This window comes from Homo sapiens, chromosome 19 (assembly GCF_000001405.40).
Source record: "Homo sapiens chromosome 19, GRCh38.p14 Primary Assembly".
In the NCBI taxonomy this organism is placed as follows: Eukaryota; Metazoa; Chordata; class Mammalia; order Primates; family Hominidae; genus Homo; species Homo sapiens.
In genome coordinates this window covers 16765854-16785592 of record NC_000019.10, presented here as the reverse complement: position 1 = coordinate 16785592, position 19739 = coordinate 16765854, and the positions used below count along the sequence as shown (strand labels likewise).

General features: G+C 47.8%; 1 protein-coding gene across 10 annotated transcripts in view; it reads right to left on the bottom strand.

The window, feature by feature from the left end:
• NWD1 (NACHT and WD repeat domain containing 1) overlaps nucleotides 1-19739 on the bottom strand; it is a 98117-nt gene that overhangs the window by 32371 nt on the left and 46007 nt on the right. For all 10 annotated transcript variants that reach the window (XM_011527929.2, XM_024451466.2, XM_011527930.3 and 7 more), the window contains 2 exons: nucleotides 12270-12467; nucleotides 6128-6250 (listed from right to left, as the gene is read on the bottom strand). In XM_011527929.2, the coding sequence (XP_011526231.1) occupies nucleotides 6128-6250; nucleotides 12270-12467 (321 nt within the window). The remainder of the gene's footprint in view (nucleotides 1-6127; nucleotides 6251-12269; nucleotides 12468-19739) is intronic.

The following is a 19739-nucleotide window of genomic DNA, read 5'->3' as shown; positions in this document are numbered from 1 at the left end:
AACAGTCATCCTCTTTTTTCTTTATCACGTTAATTTTTTAAATTTTGTTTGTTTATTTTATTTTATTTTATTTTATTTTTTTGAGACAGAGTCTCACTCTGTCTCCCAGGCTGGAGTGCAGTGACGCAATCTCGGCTCACTGCAACCTCCCACTCCAGGATTCAAGCGATTCTCCTGCCTCAGCCTCCTGAGTAGCTGGGATTACAGACATGCGCCACCATGCCCAACTAATTTTGTATGTTTAGTAGAGATGGGGTTTCACCATGTTGTCCAGGCTGGTCTCGAACTTCTGACCTCAAATGATGTGCCCGCCTCAACCTCCCAAACTGCTAGGATTACATGCGTGAGCCACCGCGCCTGGCCTATCACATTAATAATTTTAAAGCAAACAATCCAGTGGCATTTAGCCATTCACAGTGTTGTGCAACCATCACTCTATCTAGTTCCAGAACATTCGCAACCCCCCAGAAGGAGACCCTGTCCCCATCAGCAGTCACTCCCCACTCCCCTCCCCTAACCCCTGGCCACCACTAATCTGCCTCTTGTCTCTCCTGTCTCTGTGGATTAGTCTGTTCTGGACATTTCATATCCATGGGAGTCGCACACCATGTGGCCCCTGGTGACTGCTGTTTTTGTTGTTGTTTTGTTGTTTTTTTTTTTGGAGACGGAGTCTCACTCTGTCATCGCCCAGGCTGGAGTGCAGTGGCGCGATCTCGGCTCACTGCAACCTCCGCCCCCCGGGTTCAAGTGATTCTCTTGCCTCAGCCTCCTGAGTAGCTGGGACTACAGGTGTGTGCCATCACACCTGGCTAATTTTTGTATTTTTAGTAGAGACAGGGGTTCACCATGTTGGCCAGGATGGTCTCGATCTCTTGACCTCGTGATCTGCCCACCTTGGCCTCCCAAAGTGCTGGGATTACAGGCGTGAGCCACCGCGCCCAGCCGACTGCTCCTTTTTATTTGACATAATCTCTGGAGCTCCAGCCTCATGATTTCCTTGCTGTTCTGTAGACCCGCCAACCTCATTCCCCTCTCAGGGCCTTTGCACTTGCTGCTCCCTGTGCCTGGGAGGCTCTTTCCTCTCCCCTGCCCTTCCTTCACCCCTGCGGATACCAAAATCCACAGATGCTCCAGTGCCTTATACGAAATAGTGTCGTATTTGCATATAGCCTATATATATCCTCCTGTATACTTTATTACTATTGTTACCATTATTATTATTTTTAGAGATACGGGTCTGGCTGTGTTACCCCGGCTGGAGCATAGTAATGCAATCACAGCCCACTGCAGCCTCGATCTCCCAGGCTCAAGCGATCCTTCTGCCTCAGCCGCAGCCTGGGACTACAGGTGCTCCTGTATACTTAATTTTTCTTTTTTTTTTTTTCTTTTTAAGACTGAGTCTCACTGTCACCAAGGCTGGAGTGCAGTGGCATGATCTCGGCTCACAGCAACCTCCACCTCCCAGGTTCAAGTGATCTTCCTGCTTCGGTCTCCCAAGTAGCTAGGACTACAGGTGTGCACCACCACGCCCAGCTAATTTTTATACTTTTAGTAGAGATGGGGTTTCGCCATATTGGCCAGGCTGGTTTCGAACTCCTGACCTCAGGTGATCCGCGGCCTCCCGAAGTGTTGGGATTACAGACGTGATCCACTGTGCCCGGCCACTCCTGTATATTTTAAATCATCTCTAGGTTACTTACAATACCTAATATGGCATACGTGCTATGTAAATAGTTGTTATACTGCATTGTTTGGGGGACAATGACAATAAAGGTCTGTCCATGTTTAGTCCAGATGCAGTTAACTATTTTTTTCCCAAATATTTTCCTTTGTAAAAATTGTATTTATTTGTTTATTTGTTTTAAGAGACAGGGTCTTAAATTTTATTTTTATTTATTTTTTATTTTATTATTTTATTTTTATTTTATTTATTTATTATTTTATTATTTTTATTTTTTGAGATGGAGTTTTGCTCTTTTTGCCCAGGCTGGAGTGCAGTGGCGCGATCTCGGCTCACTGCAACCTCCACCTCCTGGGTTCAAGTGATTCTCCTGCCTCAGCCTCCCGAGTAGCTGGGATTACAGGTATATATCACCACGCCCGGCTAATTTTGTATTTTTAGTAGAGACAGAGTTTCATCATGTTAGCCAGGCTGGTCTCAAACTCCTGATCTCAGGTGATCCACCCACCTCGGCCTCCCAAAGTGCTGGGATTACAGGCATGAGCCACCGTTCCCCACCTTTAAATTTATTTTTAAGAGACAGGTACAGTGGCTTATGCCTGTAATTCCAGCACTTCAGGAGGCTGAGGTGGGAGGATGGCTTGATACCAGGAATTCAAGACCAGCCTGGGAAACACGGTGAGACCCAGTCTCTACAAAAACTGTTTTAAAAAGTAGTTGGGCATGGTGGCATGCACCTGTGCTCCTAGCTCTTCAGGAGGCTGAGGTGGGAGGATTGCTTGAACCTGGGATGTCAAGATTGTAGTGTACTATGATTGCACCATTGTGCTCCAGCATGGATGACAGAGTGAGATCCTGAAAAAAAAAAAAGAAAGAAAGAAAAGAAAGAAAGAAGGAAAGAAAGAAAGAGAGAGAGAAAGGAGGGAGGGAGGGAGGAAGGAAAGAAGGGAGGAAGGGGAAGGGGGGAAGGAAGGGAAGGAAGGAAGGAAAGGAAGGAAAGAAGGAAGGAAGGATGGAAAAAGAAAGAGAAAGAAAGAAAGAAAGAAAGAAGGAAAAGGAAGAAAGAAAAAGAAACACAGCCAACAACAACCAAAAGACAGGATCTCACTCTGTTGCCCAGGCTGAACTCAAACACCCGGGCTCAAGGCATCCTCCTCCTTGTAGCTGGGACTACAGGCACACACCACTGCATCCAGCTTTTCCAAATATTTTCAATCCACAGTCGGTTGAATCTATAGATGCAAAACCCACAGATATGGAGGGCCAATTAAACTTTTGATTTTTCAAAAGATTGTGTCATAATATTATGTATCTTGTCAATTGAGCCTTTTAGGGCACCCCTTTAAATTTTTTAAAAATTTGAATATGTCATCTCTAATAGAAATTTGATTCAGCTCTTTAGACCTTCTCCACCCCCACCCATTTTTCTGTTTGTTTGGTTTTTTGGAAACAAGGTCTCACTCTGTCGCCCAGGATGGAATACAGTGGTGCAAACATGGCTCACTGCAGCCTCCAACTCCTGGACTCAAGCAATCCTCTTGGCTCAGCCTCTCACGTAGCTGGGACTTCAGGTGCACACCACCATGCCTGGCTAATTTAAAACACTTTTTTTTTTTTTTTTTTTTTTAGAGGTGACGTCTTGCTATGTTGCACAGGCTGGTCTTGAATTCTGGGCCTCAAGTGATCCTCCCATCTTCAAAGTGCTGGGATTACAGGTGTGAGTCCTGTTTTATTAATTAAATAAAATGCCCAACCTGTTTTCTTAATTACATAAAAGGGTTAGATTAGATTCTTTTTTTTTTTCTTTTTTTTTTTTTTGAGACAGAGTCTCACTCTGTCGCCCAGGCTGGAGTGCAGTGGTGCAATCTCGGCTCACTGCAAGCACCACCTCCTGGGTTGATGCCATTCTCCTGCCTCAGCCTCCCGAGTAGCTGGGACTACAGGCACCCACCATCACGCCCAGCTAATTTTTTTTGTATTTTTAGTAGAGACAGGGTTTCACCGTGTTAGCCAGGATGGTCTCGATCTCCTGACCTTGTGATCCACCCGCCTAGGCCTCCCAAAGTGCTGAGATTACAAGCGTGAGCCACTGCACCTGGCCTAGATTAGATTCTTTCTAAAGCTAATTTTCGATGACTTGATTCTGTTAAATGTATTTTTTAAACACATGGGATATTTTAACTTATTTATTCAACAAATAAGCATGGAGTATGTTGAATAAAACATAACCCTTGCCCTCAAACAATAGTAATAAGATCTCAGGTCAACAAATAAATGTAGTCTTGCTTTTTTTTTTGAGATAGGGTCTCGCTGTGTTGCACAGGCTAGAGTACAGTGGTGTAATCACAGCTCACTGTAGCCCCAATCTCCTGAGCTCAAGCGATTCTCATGCCCCAGCCTCCCAAGTAGCTGGGACTAAAGGTGTGCACCACCATGCCTGGCTAATTTTTGCATTTTTTGTAGAGATGTGGGTTCACCATGTTGCCCAAGCTGGTCTCAAAATCCTGAGCTTAAATGATCTGCCTGCCTCAGCCTCCTAAAGTGCTGGGATAAGCCACCACGCCCAGCCAACTGTAGTCTTAGCCAATGTGGTCCTATGTATATCAAGCTGCAGGAGAGCACAAGGTAGCTAGTTATGAACTCTACTGTGGGAATCATCTCTCCCAAAGGGAGGACCCTTGAGATTAGTCTTCAAGAATGAATAGTTTTCCATCCTAGTCCCGACCCTCGTCTATCTCTCTTCAGCATCTAGAACAGGACCTGGTACTCAGCAGGCACTCAACAATTGATTACAGAAATAAGCCATATCTGTTAAGGGACTATGTAGAAATAAACAACCTTACTTAGGATCTGAGGTCGACAAATGCAAAAAGGACCACAATTCTTTACCCTTACTGATCCACATCCTTGGCAATGTGACTTTGCAGCTCCTCCCATCAAAAAATGAAGCCTAGGCTGGGTGTAGTGGCTCACACCTGTAATCTCAGCACTTTGGAAGGACAAGGCGAGAGGATTGCTTGAGCTCAGGAGCTTGAGACCAGCCTCAGCAACATAGTGAGACCCTGTCTCTACCAAAAAATACAAAAATCAGCCAGGTGTGGTGGTGTGTGCCTGCAGTCCCAGCTACTCAAGAGGCTGAGATGGGAGGATTGCTTGAGCCCAGGAGGCTGAGAGTGCAGTGAGCTGAGATTGTGCCACTGCACTCCAGCTTGGGCAACAGAGCAACACCCTGTCAGAAAAAAAGAATGAGAAAAAGAAAAGGAAAGAGAAGAGAAAGGAAAGGAAAGGAAAGAGAAAAGAAAAGAAGGCAGAAAGCCTATTTAGCCTATTTCCCTACTGGACTGCTCTTGTGAATTCCTTTGGTCAAGAGAATGTGAATGTGACCAGGTGCCAACTCCAAGTCCAGGCTTAAGAGATTCTGTGAGTGCCTACTTGTTTTCTTGAAACCCTGCCTTTGGCTGGGCACGGTGGCTCACGCCTGTAATCCCAGCACTTTGGGAGGACGAGGTGGGTGGATCACAAGGTCAGGAGATTGAGACCATCCTGGCTAACACGGTGAAACCCCGTCTCTACTAAAAAATATAAAAAATTAGCCAGGCATGGTGGCGGGCGCCTGTAGTCCCAGCTACTCGGGAGGCTGAGGCAGGAGAATGGCGTGAACCTGGGAGGCAGAGCTTACAGTGAGCCGAGATTGCACCACTGCACTCTAGCTTGGGCGACAGAGCAAGACTCCGTCTCAAAAAAAAAAAAAAAGAAACCTTGCCTTTGCTGGGGATGAGAGACCTGAAGGACGCTGAATGATGACAGACCACGTGGAGCAAAGTTGAGTTGCCTCATTTGAAAATATTCAGATTCAGCCAGCTCCTAGATAATCCACTGACTGACTGCAGATACATGAGCAAGCCCAGCTGAGAGCAGAAAACTGCCCAGCTGCGTCCAGCCTGCATTGCCAATGCACAGGAAGTGAGCTAAAGAAATAGCTTGTTTGTGGCTCAAATTTGTAATCCCAGCTACTTGGTAGGCTAAGGAGGGAGGATCACTTGAGCCCAAGAGTTTCAGACCAGCCTGGGCAACATAGCAAGACCCCATTTCTAAAAACATTAAAAAATTAGCTGGGTATAGTGGTATGTGCTTGTAGTCCCAGCTACTCAGGAGGCTGAGGCAGGAGGATCACTTGGCCCAGGAGTTTGAGGCTGCAGTGAGTTATAAACACACCACTGCACTCCAGCCTGGGCAATACAGTGAGATCCCATATTTAAAAAGAAAAAGAAATGGCTTGTTTGAAACTACTGTGTTTGGGGATGGTTCATTATGCAACTATAGCTAAGTGATGCAGGAACAAAGGCCAGGGTTTCAATACAGAGAAGTGAATCTGTGGGGAAGGGGCTCTGAGAACCAACTTTTCACTATGGAAGCTGACCACAAAGCCCACTTCCCAAGTCTCACCTGTGTGTCCAGTTAGCATGTGGATCACATGCTGCTCTTCCATGTCCCACACAGCCATGATGCCATCCTGGGTGCCAATCACCAGCAGCTTCTCCTCCACACCCCATGCCATGGCGGTGATGCCTGCAGCCACACAGAGGCAACAGCAATGATCTCAGTTCCTGTGTCCAAGTATTCAGCTATGGGGTCCTCTAATGAGCCCCCCACTTCACAGATAAGACAACTGAGGCACAGAGAGATTTGGTCCCTTGCCCAAAGCTGCACAGCAAGGATTAGATTCGCAGACTCAGATGCACAGATTCACACTCTGGCCTGTGACATTCACTTCGCTCTTAGGTAGGGAAGGGGACTGCATCACAGTGTGGTCATAAGTGTCTGTCTAGTCTAGCAGTGCTCACCCAGCGGACACATATCGGTTTCTGGAGACATCTTGAGGTGCCACAATGGGGACAAGGATGCTCAAGGACAGTACTGCCATCTGGTGGGTGCAGGCCAGGGATGCTGTTCAACACCCAGCAACGCATGACAACCCCATCCCAGAGAAAGATTCAGCCCCAGAAGTCAGCAATGCCATGGCTGAGAAACCCTGCCTTAGTTGAAGAAAACTCAGAAACAAAATCACATTGGCCATGGCCGGGCACGGTGGCTCATGCCACCCAGCACTGTGGGAGGCCAATACTTTGGGAGGCCAAACTTTGGGAGGCCGAGGTGGGCGGATCACTTGAGGTCAGGAGTTCAAGACCAGCCTGTCCAACATGGAGAAACCCAGTCTCTACTAAAAATATAAAAATTAGCCAGGCATAGTGAAGCACACCTGTAATCCCAGCTACTCGGGAGGCTGAGGCCAGAGAATGACTTGAGCCCAGGAGGTGGAGGTTGCAGTGAGCTGAGATCACACCACTGCACTCCAACCTGGGTGAGAGAGGGAGACTCTGTCTCAACAACAACAACAACAACAAAAAAAAAAAAAAGAAGAAGAAGAAGAAGAAAGAAAAGAAAAGAAAGAAAGAAATTATATTGGCTGAGAATGAGGATTATGTTTTTGACATCTCTGAGTTCAACTGGTGTAGAAAAACAAGGGCTGATGTCCTAAAGAAAAAAAATATATATTTGCCAATGAATTGGGCAAACACACCCCAAGGATCTCTGCCTGGTGGAGTTTGATTAAAATATCACTGCAGAGAGAGAAGGGCCAAGATATATTGGAGAAAACGTGGGCCTAGACACTAAGAAACTGAACTTTCTGAATGTCCTGGAGTAAAGAAAGGAAGTCCTTTTCCTTCTGTGTGCCTCTTCCACATGTGTAAAATGGGTGGTGCTGAATCAGAGCCCGTCAAGCTCTGAGAATACAGAATTTTGTTTCCACCTCATCGGGACAGAGAGTGAGGAGATGGGATTTGTTTTCTTTTCCTTTCTTCTCCTCCCCTTCCCTCCCTTTCCCTTCCCTCCCCTTCCTTCCCTTTCCCTTCCCTCCCCCTTCCTCCATTTCCTTCCCTTTCCCTTCCCTCCCTTTCCTTTCCTTCCCTTTCCCTTCCCTCCCTTTCCTTTCCTTCCCCTCCCCTTTCTCTTTCCTTCCCCTTTCCTCTCCCCTCCCCTTCCCCCCTCTTCCCTTCCCTTTCCCCTCCCCTTCTCTCCCTCTTCCCTTCCCTCCCCTTCCCTTCCCTTCCCTCCCCTTTCCCTTCCCCTTCCCTCCTCTTCCCTACCCTCTCATTCCCTCCCCTCTCCTTCCTTTCCCTCCCATCCCCTTCCCTCCCCTTCCCTTCCCTTCCCTCCCCTTTCTCCTTCCCTCCTTTTTCCCCTGCTCTCCCCTTTCCCTTCCCCTTCCCTCCCCCTTCCCCTCCACTTCCCTCCCCTTTCCCCTCCCCTCCACTTTCCCCTCCCCTCCCCTATCCCCTCCTCTCCTTCCCCTCCCCTTCTCTCCCTCTTCACTCCCATCCCTTTCTCACCTCTCCCCTCCCCTTCCCTTTCCTCCCCTTTCCCTTCCCCTTCCCTCCTCTTCCCTCCCCTCCCATTCCCTCCCCTTTCCTTCCCTTCCTTCCCCTTTCCCTTCCCCTTCCCTCCCTTTCCCTCTCCTTCCCTCCCCTCCCTTCCCCTCCCCTCCCCTTCTCTCCTCTTTCCCCTCCCCTTCCCTTCCCTCCTCTTTCCCCTCCCCTTTCCTCCTCTTCTCTTCCCTCCCTTTCCCTCCCCTCCCCTTCCCTCCCCTTTCCCTTCCCCTTCCCTCCCCTTCCCTCCCCTCCCCTTCCCTTTCCCCTCCCCTTCCCTTCCCTCCCCTTTCCCCTCCCCTTCCCTTCCCTCCCCTTTCCCTTCCCCTTCCCTTCCCTCCCCTTTCCCCTCCCCTTCCCTCCCCTTCCCTTTCTTCCCCTTTCCCCTTCCCTCCCCTTCCCTTTCTTCCCCTTTCCCCTTCCCTTCCCTCTTCCCTCCAGTTCCCTTTCCCTTCCCTCCAGTTCCTTCCCTCTTCCCTCTCCTTTCCCTCCCTTCCCCTCCCCACTCTCCTTCCCTTCCTTTTCTTCTTCTTTTTTTTTTTCAGATAGGGTCTCACTCTATCACCCAGGCTGGAGTGCAGTGCCACAATCACAGCTCACTGCAGCCTCGAACTCTTGGGCTCAAGCCATTCTCCCATCTTAGCCTCCTGAGTAGCTGAGACTATAGGCACATACCACCATGACCAGCTTTTTTTTTTTTTTTTTTTTTTAACTTTTTGTAGAGGCAAGGTCTCCTTATGTTGCCCAGGCTGGTCTTGAACATCTCGGCCCAAGAGATCTTCTTGCCTTGGCCTCCCAAAGAGCTGGGATTATAGGCATAAATCACTGTGCTCAGCCCCTTTTACTTTTTTTCTTATGCACTCATTGTGTGACCTTGGAAATATTAACTCATACTTTTCATTTTTTTTTTTTTTGTGAGACGGAGTTTTACTCTTTCGCCCAGGCTGGAGTGCAGTGGAACGATCTCCGCTCACTGCAACCTCCGCCTTCCAGTTTCAAGCAATTCTCCTGCCTCAGCCTCCAGAGTAGCTGGGATTACAGGTGTCCGCTACAACGCCCGGCTAATTTTTGTATTTTTAGTAGAGACAGGGTTTCACCATGTAGGCCAGGCTGGTCTTGAACTCCTGATCTCATGATCCACCTGCCTCAACCTCCCAAAGCGCTGGGATTACAGGCGTGAGCCACCATGCCTGGCCATACTTTTCATATTAAAAATGAACAAACTGAAGTCCACACAGGTAAGAACTTTCTCAACTTTAACAGAACTAGAGGATGTACAGCGGGGCACAGTGGATCTGAAACACAGAACATTTCCCTGCCCCAGAGATGAGAAAAATGTCACGCTAAGCTGTAACTTCCTATGCCTGTGCCATGACAGACATCATTAATCAATCACAGCACTATGTGCGATTTGTGCCCCCATAGTCATTCTATCATCTCACCTTTAGTAATAAAACCCAAAAGCCTACAGGTTTTAGCTGAGTACATAGTTATCCGCACAAAGACCACATTTCCCTGGCTGAGCACAGTGGCTCAACCCTGTAATCCCAGCACTTTGGGAGGCCAAGGTAGGCGATCACCTGAGGTCAGGAGTTTGAGACCAGCCTGGCCAACATGGTGAAACCCTGTCTCTACCAAGAATACAAAAATTAGCCAGGCATGGTGGCATGTGCCTGTAATCCCAGCTACTTGGGAGGCTGAGGCAGGAAAATGGCTTGAATCTGGGAAGCAGAGGTGCAGTGAGCCGAGATTGCGCCACTGCACTCCAGCCTGGGCGACAAGAACAAAACTCCATATAAAAAGTAAAAATAAAAATAAAAATATAAAAACATATTTCCCAGGCTTCCTTACAGTTGGAGATATCCAAGTTCTTGCCAATGAGACAGGAGTGGAAATATTTAGTTCTGCTTCCAGGTCGTGCCCTTAAAATGAAGAGGCCTGCCATCTGCTTCTCCTATTCCCCACTGGCTGGAATGCCATCTTGATGGTAGGAGTTGGAGCAGCTATATTGGGCCAACGAGGACAGCCCTACACTGAAAATGGCAGAGCGCCAGACTGAAAGAGTATGGGTCCCAGACACCCTAAAGACTCCCTCTTGCCTCTGCTTTTGCTTGAACTATTTCAAAAGAGAGAATTAAACTCCTATCTTATTTAAGCCACTGATATTTTGGCCATTTTTTTTTACAACATCTGAGCCTATATTCTAACAAATACACACTCTTTCCCACTAAGCTAGCTTCAGTCTTAGAATCCTCAACACAGCATTCTAGTGGCTGCCCCTAAATCAACTCCTCCATGCATTGTACTTAGTGTCTCTTAGCATTTCTATTTTGAAAATAATGTGCCTGGGGAGTGCAGCTCTCACTGCCAGGTCATGTGGCACAGTAAGGAGCTCTGACATTTGAACCACAAGTGAACTCAGTGGTCTCACAATCAGTGTGAGAGATTGTGGGTGGGCAGATAAATAGATGGGTGAATGGAGGTAAATGAGTGGGTAGACAGGTGGCTAGTTGGATGAGTGAGTGGGTGAATGGATGGGCAGGTAGATGGGTAGATGGAGGAATCAGTTTCTCGATGAAATTGAAGTGAGAAAGTTGATGAATGGCTAAGTGTGTGGATGGGTGGAGGCGTAAGTGAATGAATGGAAGATGATCAGATGAAGAAAATGGAAGGATAAGTGGGTAGAGGGGTGGATGACTGATGGGTGGATAGAAGAGAGGAAGGAAGGAAGAAAGAAAGGGTTGAAGGATGAATGAATGGATGAATGGATGGGTGAGTGGATGGATGGAAGGAAAGGTGTGTAGGTGGGTGAGTGGATGGAAGGGTGGGTGGATGGACGGATGAAAGGATGGGAAGGTGATTTGATGAATGGATGGATGGATAGATTAATGAAAAGGTGAGTAAATGATTTGATGAATCGATGAATAACGGATGGGTGGATGGATGAATGGGGCTAGATAAATGAAACAGTGGTAGGGTAGATGGATAGATGGATGGATGGGTGGATGGGTGGATGGATGGAACAGTGGAACAGTAGATGAATGAAAGAGTGGGAGGGTAGATGGATTTAGAGATGGGGGATAGATGGATGGAAAGGTAGCAGGGTGGGTAGATGGATGGGTGGATGGGTGGGAGGATGGATGGATGGATGGATGGAGAGGAAAGTGGTTTGATAGATGAATTGATGGATAAATGGAAGGGTGGGTAGATGATTGGATGAATGGACAACTGATGTATGAATGGGTGGGTGGATGAGTGAATGGATGGATAGATGGATGGAAGGGTGGGAGGATAGATGGATGGGAGAGTGGGAAGGTGGATGGATGGATGGATGGATGGGGCAGTAGATGGATGGAAGGGTGGCAGAGAAGATGGGTGGATGAATGGATGGGTGGGTGGGAGGACGGTGGATGGATGGATGGATAGATGAATGGAAGGGTGGGAGTGTAGATAGATGGATGAATGGATGGGAGGGTAATTGGATGGAAGAGTAGGAAGGTGAATTAATGGATGGATGGATGGATGGATGGATGGATGGATGGATAGATGGATGGATGAATGGATGGGTGGGTGGGAGGCTGGTGGATGGATGGATAGATGAATGGAAGGGTGGGAGGTAGATAGAGAGATGAATGAATGGATGGGAGGGTAATTGGATGGAAGAGTAGGAAGGTGAATGAAAGGATGGATGCATAGATGGTTGGATGAATGGAAGGAAGAAAAAAATGAATGACAAATGGATGGCAAAACCTAAATCCTCTCCTCTCCCTTACATTCTGGGATTCCAAGGGCTGCTTACAGTTCCTTCAGCTTCTCAGAGGACTGTCAGGCATCAGTTCCTAGCTTTCAGAATTACTAGCATGAGCTTGTAAATAGCTGAAACTGTCAGATGGGCACCAATCCCTTGGAGATGGGAAGCTTGGAGGCACCCCCTAGCATCGGGCTCATTAGAAGAATTTATATGAGACATCTACAGTCCCTTGAGGTGGGGCAGAGAGAGCTGATTCAGCATGAGACAGCAGGGGCAGGCTCTGATGGCAAGCTTGGGGCCTCCCAACTAGCACAGGGGAGTCCCAGAGGACAACCTCAAACACCTGGCCTTCACTGCCCCCAGGCAAGCAGGTGCCTGCTGGGATTTTTGCTATGCTGGGGAGACTCACCTTTGTGACAGCCGCTGAGAGTTGCCCGGAGGGGTCCTCCCGGGGGCTGGAGGAATCCTCCGAGGGGCACCAGCACAGGGTGTGCGCACAACTGGAACCAGCTCTGGGCCTGTTGGCATAGCTGTCCCACCAGTGCTGGATGTGAGGTGGCGAAGAAATGGAGTCTGGCCAGCAGTTCTGTGTACAGGAGGCTCCTCTCTGCAACAAAGGGATGTAGACTAAGTTGCCTGGATTGAGCCCCCTCTACCCTCCCTGCCAATTGAGTCTCTGCTCCCTGCAGGGGCTCCAGAACAAAAGAAGACACAATACCTCAGCTACTGGCCTCTGCTGTCCGCTCCTGTCTCCTTCTCTGCTCTCCAGACACACTTACCCTTGCTTCAGAGGCACCCAGCTGTTTCCAGTCTCCAGCCTTTGCCCAGGTTGCCTAGAATGCTTCCCTTTCCTTCCTCCCTCCCTTCTTCTCTCCCTCTCTCCCTTCCTTTCTTCCTTCCTCTTTTATCACACTCTGTTGTCCCGGCTGGAGTGCAGTGGCATGATCAAAGCTAACTGCAGCCTCAAACTTCTGGGCTCAAGCAATCCTCCCATCTCAGCCTCCCAAATACTAGGGACTACAGGCATGCGCCACCACACTCAGCTAATTTATTTGTTTGTTTTATTTTATTTTATTTATTTATTTTTGAGATGGAATTTTAGCCTGTCACCTAGGTTGGAGTGCAATGGTGCGATCTTGGCTCACTGCAACCTGCACCTCCCAGGTTCAAGCGATTCTCCTGCCTCAGCCTCCCTAATAGCTGGGACTACAGGTGCCCGCCACCAGGCCCAACTAATTTTTGTGTGTCTAGTGGAAACGGGGTTTCACCATGTTGGCTGGGCTGACCTCAAGTGATCCACCTGCCTCGGCCTCCTAAAGTGCTGGGATTACAGGCATGAGCCACCGCGCCTGGCTATTTATTTTTTTAGAGACAGGGTCTTACTCTGTCACCCAGGCTGGAGTGCAGTGGCACGATCGCAGCTCACTGCAGCCTCAAACTCCTGGGCTCAAGCGATCTTCCGGCCACAGCCTCTATATTAGCTGGGACTGCAGATGCACGTCACCACGCCTCGTTAGTTTTTTATTTTTTGTAGAGACGGGGTCTCGTTATGTTGCCCAGGCTGGTCTCAAACTTCTGGGCTCAAGATATCCTCCTTCCTCGACCCCTCAAAGCTCTGGAATTATAGGCGTGAGCCACTGTGCTCAGACTCAACCTTTTCAATAAAAGTAGGATCAGAGGAGGGATATATTGGAAATCTTTGTACCTTTCACTCAATTTTGCTGTGAACCTAAAACCGTTCTATTAAAAAATGGGCTATTAAGAAAAATTAGCCGAGCATGGTGGCGCGCAGGCCTGTAATCCCAGCTACTCGGGAGGCTGAGACAGGAGAATCGCTGGAACCCAGGAGGCAGAAGTTGGGTGACAGAGCGAGGCTCCTTCTCAAAAAAAAAAAAAAAAAAGGACTCGTGATCGCGTTGGATCATTTAGGATGTTATGTTGAATGGTCCCCATTCGCCAGCGTGCTTGGATGTACGGAGAGCACATGGTTGTCCAGCAGCGCCCTCTGGTGATAACATTTGTTCCTACACCTCCTCCTTGTGCTGGGGGAGCCACAGGTTGTCAATCAAGGGGCTTTGCAGGGAACTTGCTGAGAGATCTGGGCTTTTAAATCTTCCTTAAAATGGGAAGTCATGCCCAAGGCTGTTTTCCTGGGAAGTTGCTCCATCAAGGTTTACAACTCCTGGCGAGCGCCTCTCGCGTTATTTTTCTTTCCAGTTGCCTTAAATTCCAGTTGTTTGGTATGCTGTTCCATCTCCTTCTCTTTATTTATTTGTGTATTTTGAGACAGAGTCTTGCTCTGTCGTGCAAGTTGGAGTGCGGTGGCGTGATCTCGGCTCACCGCAACATCTGCCTCCCGGGTTCAAGCAATTTTCGTGCCTCAGCCTCCCAAGAAGCTGGGATTACAGGCATGCACCACCACACCCGGCTAATTTTTGTATTTTTAGTAGAGATGGGGTTTCACTGTCACCAAGGCTGGTCTCAAACTCCTGGCCTCAAGCAATCTGCCTGCCTCGGCTTCTCAAAGTATTGGGGTTACAGGCGTGAGCCACTGTGCCCAGCCATCTATCTATTTTTAACTAATTAATTTTTTTTTACAGAGATAGGGTCTCGCTATGTTGCCCAGGATGGTCTTGAACTCCTGCCCTCTAGCAATCCTTCTGTCTGGGCCTCCCAAAGTGCTGGGATTAGAAGCGTGAACCCCCGCACTCGGCCCCATCTCCCTCTCTTAAAGGCTGAGACAAACATTAACTATATTTAGGTCCCTGTGGGAGCTGGGGCTATGGCAGATAATCAGTAGGGGTTGTGTGAATGCATAAGAAAGGCATAAATGATTGCAGGCACCAGCATCTTCACATTGGGTGGAGTTCTGGACACATTTTAGTTCAATTGCACATTTTGCAGATGACAAAAATAGGGTTTCAGGGCAGAAATAGCTCATCCTAGGCTATTCATGTCAACAATGCTATCATATGACAGTAACAGGACCCTCGATGGCAACACGGGTGGAGGTTCTGTGTGAACTGATGCGCGTACTCTTCCCAGCAGCCCTAGGTGGGATGGTCACTCAGCATCCCTATTCTGCAGATGGGAAAACTGAGGGCTGTGGGGCAGGGGGAGGGATGGTAAAGGGTTTGCAAGGTCACACTGCCAAGAAGTGGCAGCGCCAAGATTTCAATGGACACGGTGGGGCTCAAAATTTGTGGTCTCTGTGTGTATTTGTCTGTTCTCATGCTGCTAATAAAGACATACCTGAAACTGGGTAATTTATAAAGGAAAGAGGTTTAATTGACCTACAGTTCTGCAGGGCTGGGGAGGCCTCAGGAAACTTACAATCACGGTGGAAGGGGAAGCAAACACGCCCTTCTTCACAAGGCGGGAGGAGAGAGAAGAATGAGAGCTGAGCAAAGGGGGAAGCCCCTTATTTTAAAAAGCCCCATCAGATCTCTTGAGAGCTTACTCAGTATCAGGAGAACAGCATGGAGGAAAACACCTCCATGATTCGATTATCTCCACCTGGTCCCTCCCTCAATGTGTGGGGATTATGGGAAATACAATTCAAGATGATAGCTGGGTGGGGACACAGCCAAACCATATCAATGTGTTAAAGGTAAAAATTTGGCAGGGAGAAAACAGATGATGCCATTGGCCTTATGGAGCTCAGAGTCTGATGTGGCAGACAGATGATGCAAAAGAAAACCAAGAGAAATCATAATTAAAGGCAAAGACAAGCCAGGGGTGGTGGTGTGCACCTGTGGTCCCAGCTACTTGGGAGGCTGAGGTGAGAGGACCACTGGAGCCCAGGAGTTTGAAGGTGCTGTGCGCTATGATCATGCCATTGCACTCCAGCCTGGACAACAGGGCAAGACTTTGTCTCTAAAAAAAGAAAAAAGAAAAAGAGCCAAGACAGATGGAAAACAGGGTGCAGTGATAGAAAATTCAGAGGCAAGGATCGGGGAGACATAGAGAAGTTAAGCTTCAGTGGTGGCCAGACAAGGCTTCTCTGAGGAATCGCATTTAGCTGAGCTCCAAAGTTGCCACAGAAGGGCTGGGGGAGGCGAGTCCCAGCCCAGGGCCCCCGGCACGCAAGCTTGGATGTTTCCATCACTGTCTGGGGCAGTAAGGATGGAGACAAGCATCTCCCAGGAGAGTGAGTCATACACAGCCATGTAGGCTACAGTACTGGAAAGGTCATTATCCCAAGGACAATGGGAGAACCATCTAGAAGATTCAATAGAGATACTTAGTGAGATTTGGGCTCTTTTTTTTTTTTAATGGAATTTTGCTCTGTCGCCAAGGCTGGAGTGCAGTGGTGTGATCCCGGCTCACTGCAACCTCTGCCTGCTGGGTTCAAGCAATTCTCCTGCCTCAGCCTCCCGAGTAACTGGGATTACAGGTGCGTGCTACCGTGCCTGGCTAATTTTTGCATTTTTAGTAGAGATGGGGTTTCACCCTGTTGGCCAGGCTGGTCTCAAACTCCTGACCTCAAGTGATCTGCCTGCCTCAGCCTCCCGAAGTGCTGGGATTATAGGCATGAGCCACCACACCTGGCCATCTGATGGTTTTATAAGGCAATTTTCCCAGCTTTTGTTCCCTGTCTCTTGAACACCTGGCATCAAGTGATCCACCTGCCTCAGCCTCCCAAAGTGCCGAGATAACAGGCTTGAGCCACCCCGGCCGTTTTGGGCTTTCAAGATTCTTCTGAGTGCTGTATGGAAAATAAACCAAAGGGTAAGAATGAATCCAAAGTAGGCAGACCTCCGAGGATGCTGTCTGGAGGAGAGACAGCAGCACTGGCCCTGGGCTGATGGCCAGGAGAATAAAGAGAAGCAGATAGTTCAAGGATGGTTTGCAGGGCCAGGATTAGAAGCTCTGCATAGGAATCACAGGCCACTGGTCATCCTTTTTAACATCCTATTCACATCCATGGGGAAGCACTTTGGATACAGAGACTTAAGCATCTTGAATACTCCCCCTTCCTTTGTGAATTCAGCTCACAATTTATTGCTCTTTGTTAACATGGTATTTAAGGCCCCAGGTCTAAACACTCCTTTGAGTTTTCACTTTTCTGTGAAACTTCTGTGCATGTAAAATTAAAATGTGTGAGCCCTTTCTCCTGTTAAGCTGTCTTAATTCACAGGCCCCTATCACTGAACATAAAAGGGTAGAGAAAAAGATATTATTTATTGTCTCCCATAGTTTGATTATAAAATGGTGTAGCTTTTGTGGAAAATGAAGTGGTCGTTCCTCAAAAAGTTAAACACAAAATTTCCATGTGATCTAGTGATTCCTTTTCACAATATCCAAAAGGTAGAAACACACAAATGTCCACAGACAGATGAACGGATAAACAAAATGTGGCATATTCATACAATGCAATATTATTAAGCCTTTAAAAGGAAGGAAATTCTTAGCCTTGAAAAGGAAGGAAATTCTTAGCCAGGCATGGTAGCTCAAGCCTGTAATCCCAGCACTTTGGGAGGCCAAGGTGGGCAGATCACATGAGGTCAGGAGTTCGAGACCAGCCTGGCTAACATAGCAAAACCCCATCTCTACTAAAAAATACAAAAATTAGCTGCATGTGGTGGCACACACCTGTAATCCCAGCTACTCTGGAGGCTGAGGCAGGACAATTGCTTGAGCAACCCAGGAGGTGGAGGTTGCGGTGAGCTGAGATCGTGCCACTGCACTCCAGCCTGGGTGACAGAGCGAGACTCTGTCGTGCAAAAAAAAAAAAAAAAAAAAAAAAAGGAAGGAAATTCTGACATATGCTACAATGTGGATGAAACTTGAGGACATTCTGCTCAGTAAGAGAAGTCAGAGAATAAAGGACAAATACTGTAAAATACCACTTATATGAAATACCTAAAGCAGTCAAATTTATAGAGACAGAAAATAGCATGGTGGTTGCCAGGGACTGGGGTGAAGGGAGAATGGGGAGAGATATGGGTTGGCTCTGTGTCCCTACCCAAATCTCATCTTGAATTGTAATCCCCATAATCCCCACATGTTGAGGGAGGGACCAGGTGGGAGGTGATTGGATCATGGGGGTGGTTCCCCCATGCTGTTCTCATGACAGTGAGTTTTCACGAGATCTGATGGTTTTTTGGGTTTTATTGGAGACACAGTCTCACTCTGTCACCCAGGCTGGAGTGCATGGTGGGATTTCTGGTCACTGCAACCTCTGCCGCCCGTGTTCAAGCAATTTTCCCACCTCAGCCTCTCAAGTAGCTGGAACTACAGGCATGTGCCACCACGCCTGACAAATTTTTGTATTTTTAGTAGAGCTGGGGTTTCACCATGTTGGCCAGGCTGGTCTCAAACTCCTGACCTCAAGTGATCTGCCTGCCTCGGCCTCCCAAAGTGCTGGGATTATAGGCGTGAGCCACCACACCTGGCCGTCCGATGGTTTTATAAGGCAGTTGCTCCCTCTCTCTCGCCTGCTGCCATGCATGAACCCAGGAGGCGGAGCTTGCAGTGAGCCGAGATCGCACCACTGCACTCCAGCCTGGGCGACAGAGCGAGACTCTGTCTCACCAAAAAAAAAAAAAAAAAAAAAAAAAAAGACGCACCTCTTTCCCTTCTGCCATGATTGTAAGTTTCCTGAGGCCTTCCCAGCCATGCAGAACTATGAGTCAATTAAACCTCTTTCCTTTGTAAATTACCCAGTCTTGGGTGTTTCTTTATAGCAGTGTGAAAACAGACTAGTACAGGGAGTGAATGTTTAATGAAAACAGAGTTTCACTTTAGGAAGATTAACAAGTTCTGGAGATGAATGGTGGTGATAGCTGCACATTATTAATATATTTAATCACTGAACTGCACACATAAAAATGGTTAAGATGGGGGTCAGGCACAGTGGTTCATGCCTGTCATCCCAGCACTTTGGGAGTCTGAGGCAGGAGGATTGCTTGAGTCCAGGAGTTCAAGACCTGCCTGTGAAACATGGCAAAATCCCGTCTCTACAAAATATACAAAAATTAGCCAGGCATGATGATACATGTCAGTAGTCTCAGCTACTCAGAAGGCTGAGGTAGGAGGATCTCTTGAGCCTGATAGGCGGAGGTTGCAGTGAGCTGAGATCATGCCACTGTACTCTAGCCTGGGTAATGAAGCGAGATCCTGTCTCAAAAAAAAAAAATGGTTAAGACATGTATTTTGCTATAATTAAAACAAAACCAAACAGAACATCCTCATGGCCAGAGCGTCTAAAGACTTGGAGAGATTCTTCAAGCTCTAGGGCAGGGAGTAGCAAATTGCAGTCTGAGGGCCAGACCCAGCCCAAGTCATCTGGGAGCTAGAAATAAGTTTTTTTTTGGTTTGTTCGTTTTGAGACAGGGTCTCGCTCTGTCACCCAGGCTGGAATGCAGCGGAGCAATCACAGTTTACTGCAGCCTCGACCTCCCAGGCTCAATTGATCCTCCCACCTCACCTTCCCAAGTAGCTGGGACTACAGGTGTAAGCCATCATGCTCAGCCTGAGAATAATTTTTACAGCCATGTGTTTGCAATGGACCAGATAATAGTGAAAACCAACTCTGAACCTGAAGTTTTGTACTCAGTTATTATTATATTTTGAATTTCATCAATAAAAAATATGTGGGAACTTTGTTTTCTCTCTTATCATATATGTACCTACATAATTTCCTCGAGTTTTCTCGAAATAGTTCCTATCTGGTGCTTTCTTTTCTTTCTTTCTTTTTTTTTTTTTTTTTTTGAGACGGAGTCTCACTCTGTTGCCCAGGCTGGAGTGCAGTGGTGCGATCTCGGCTCACTGTAACCTCCGCCTCCCAGGTTCCAGCAATTCTCCTGCCTCAGCCTCCCGAGTAGCTGGGACTACAGGTGCCCACCACCACACCCTGCTAATTTTTGTATTTTTA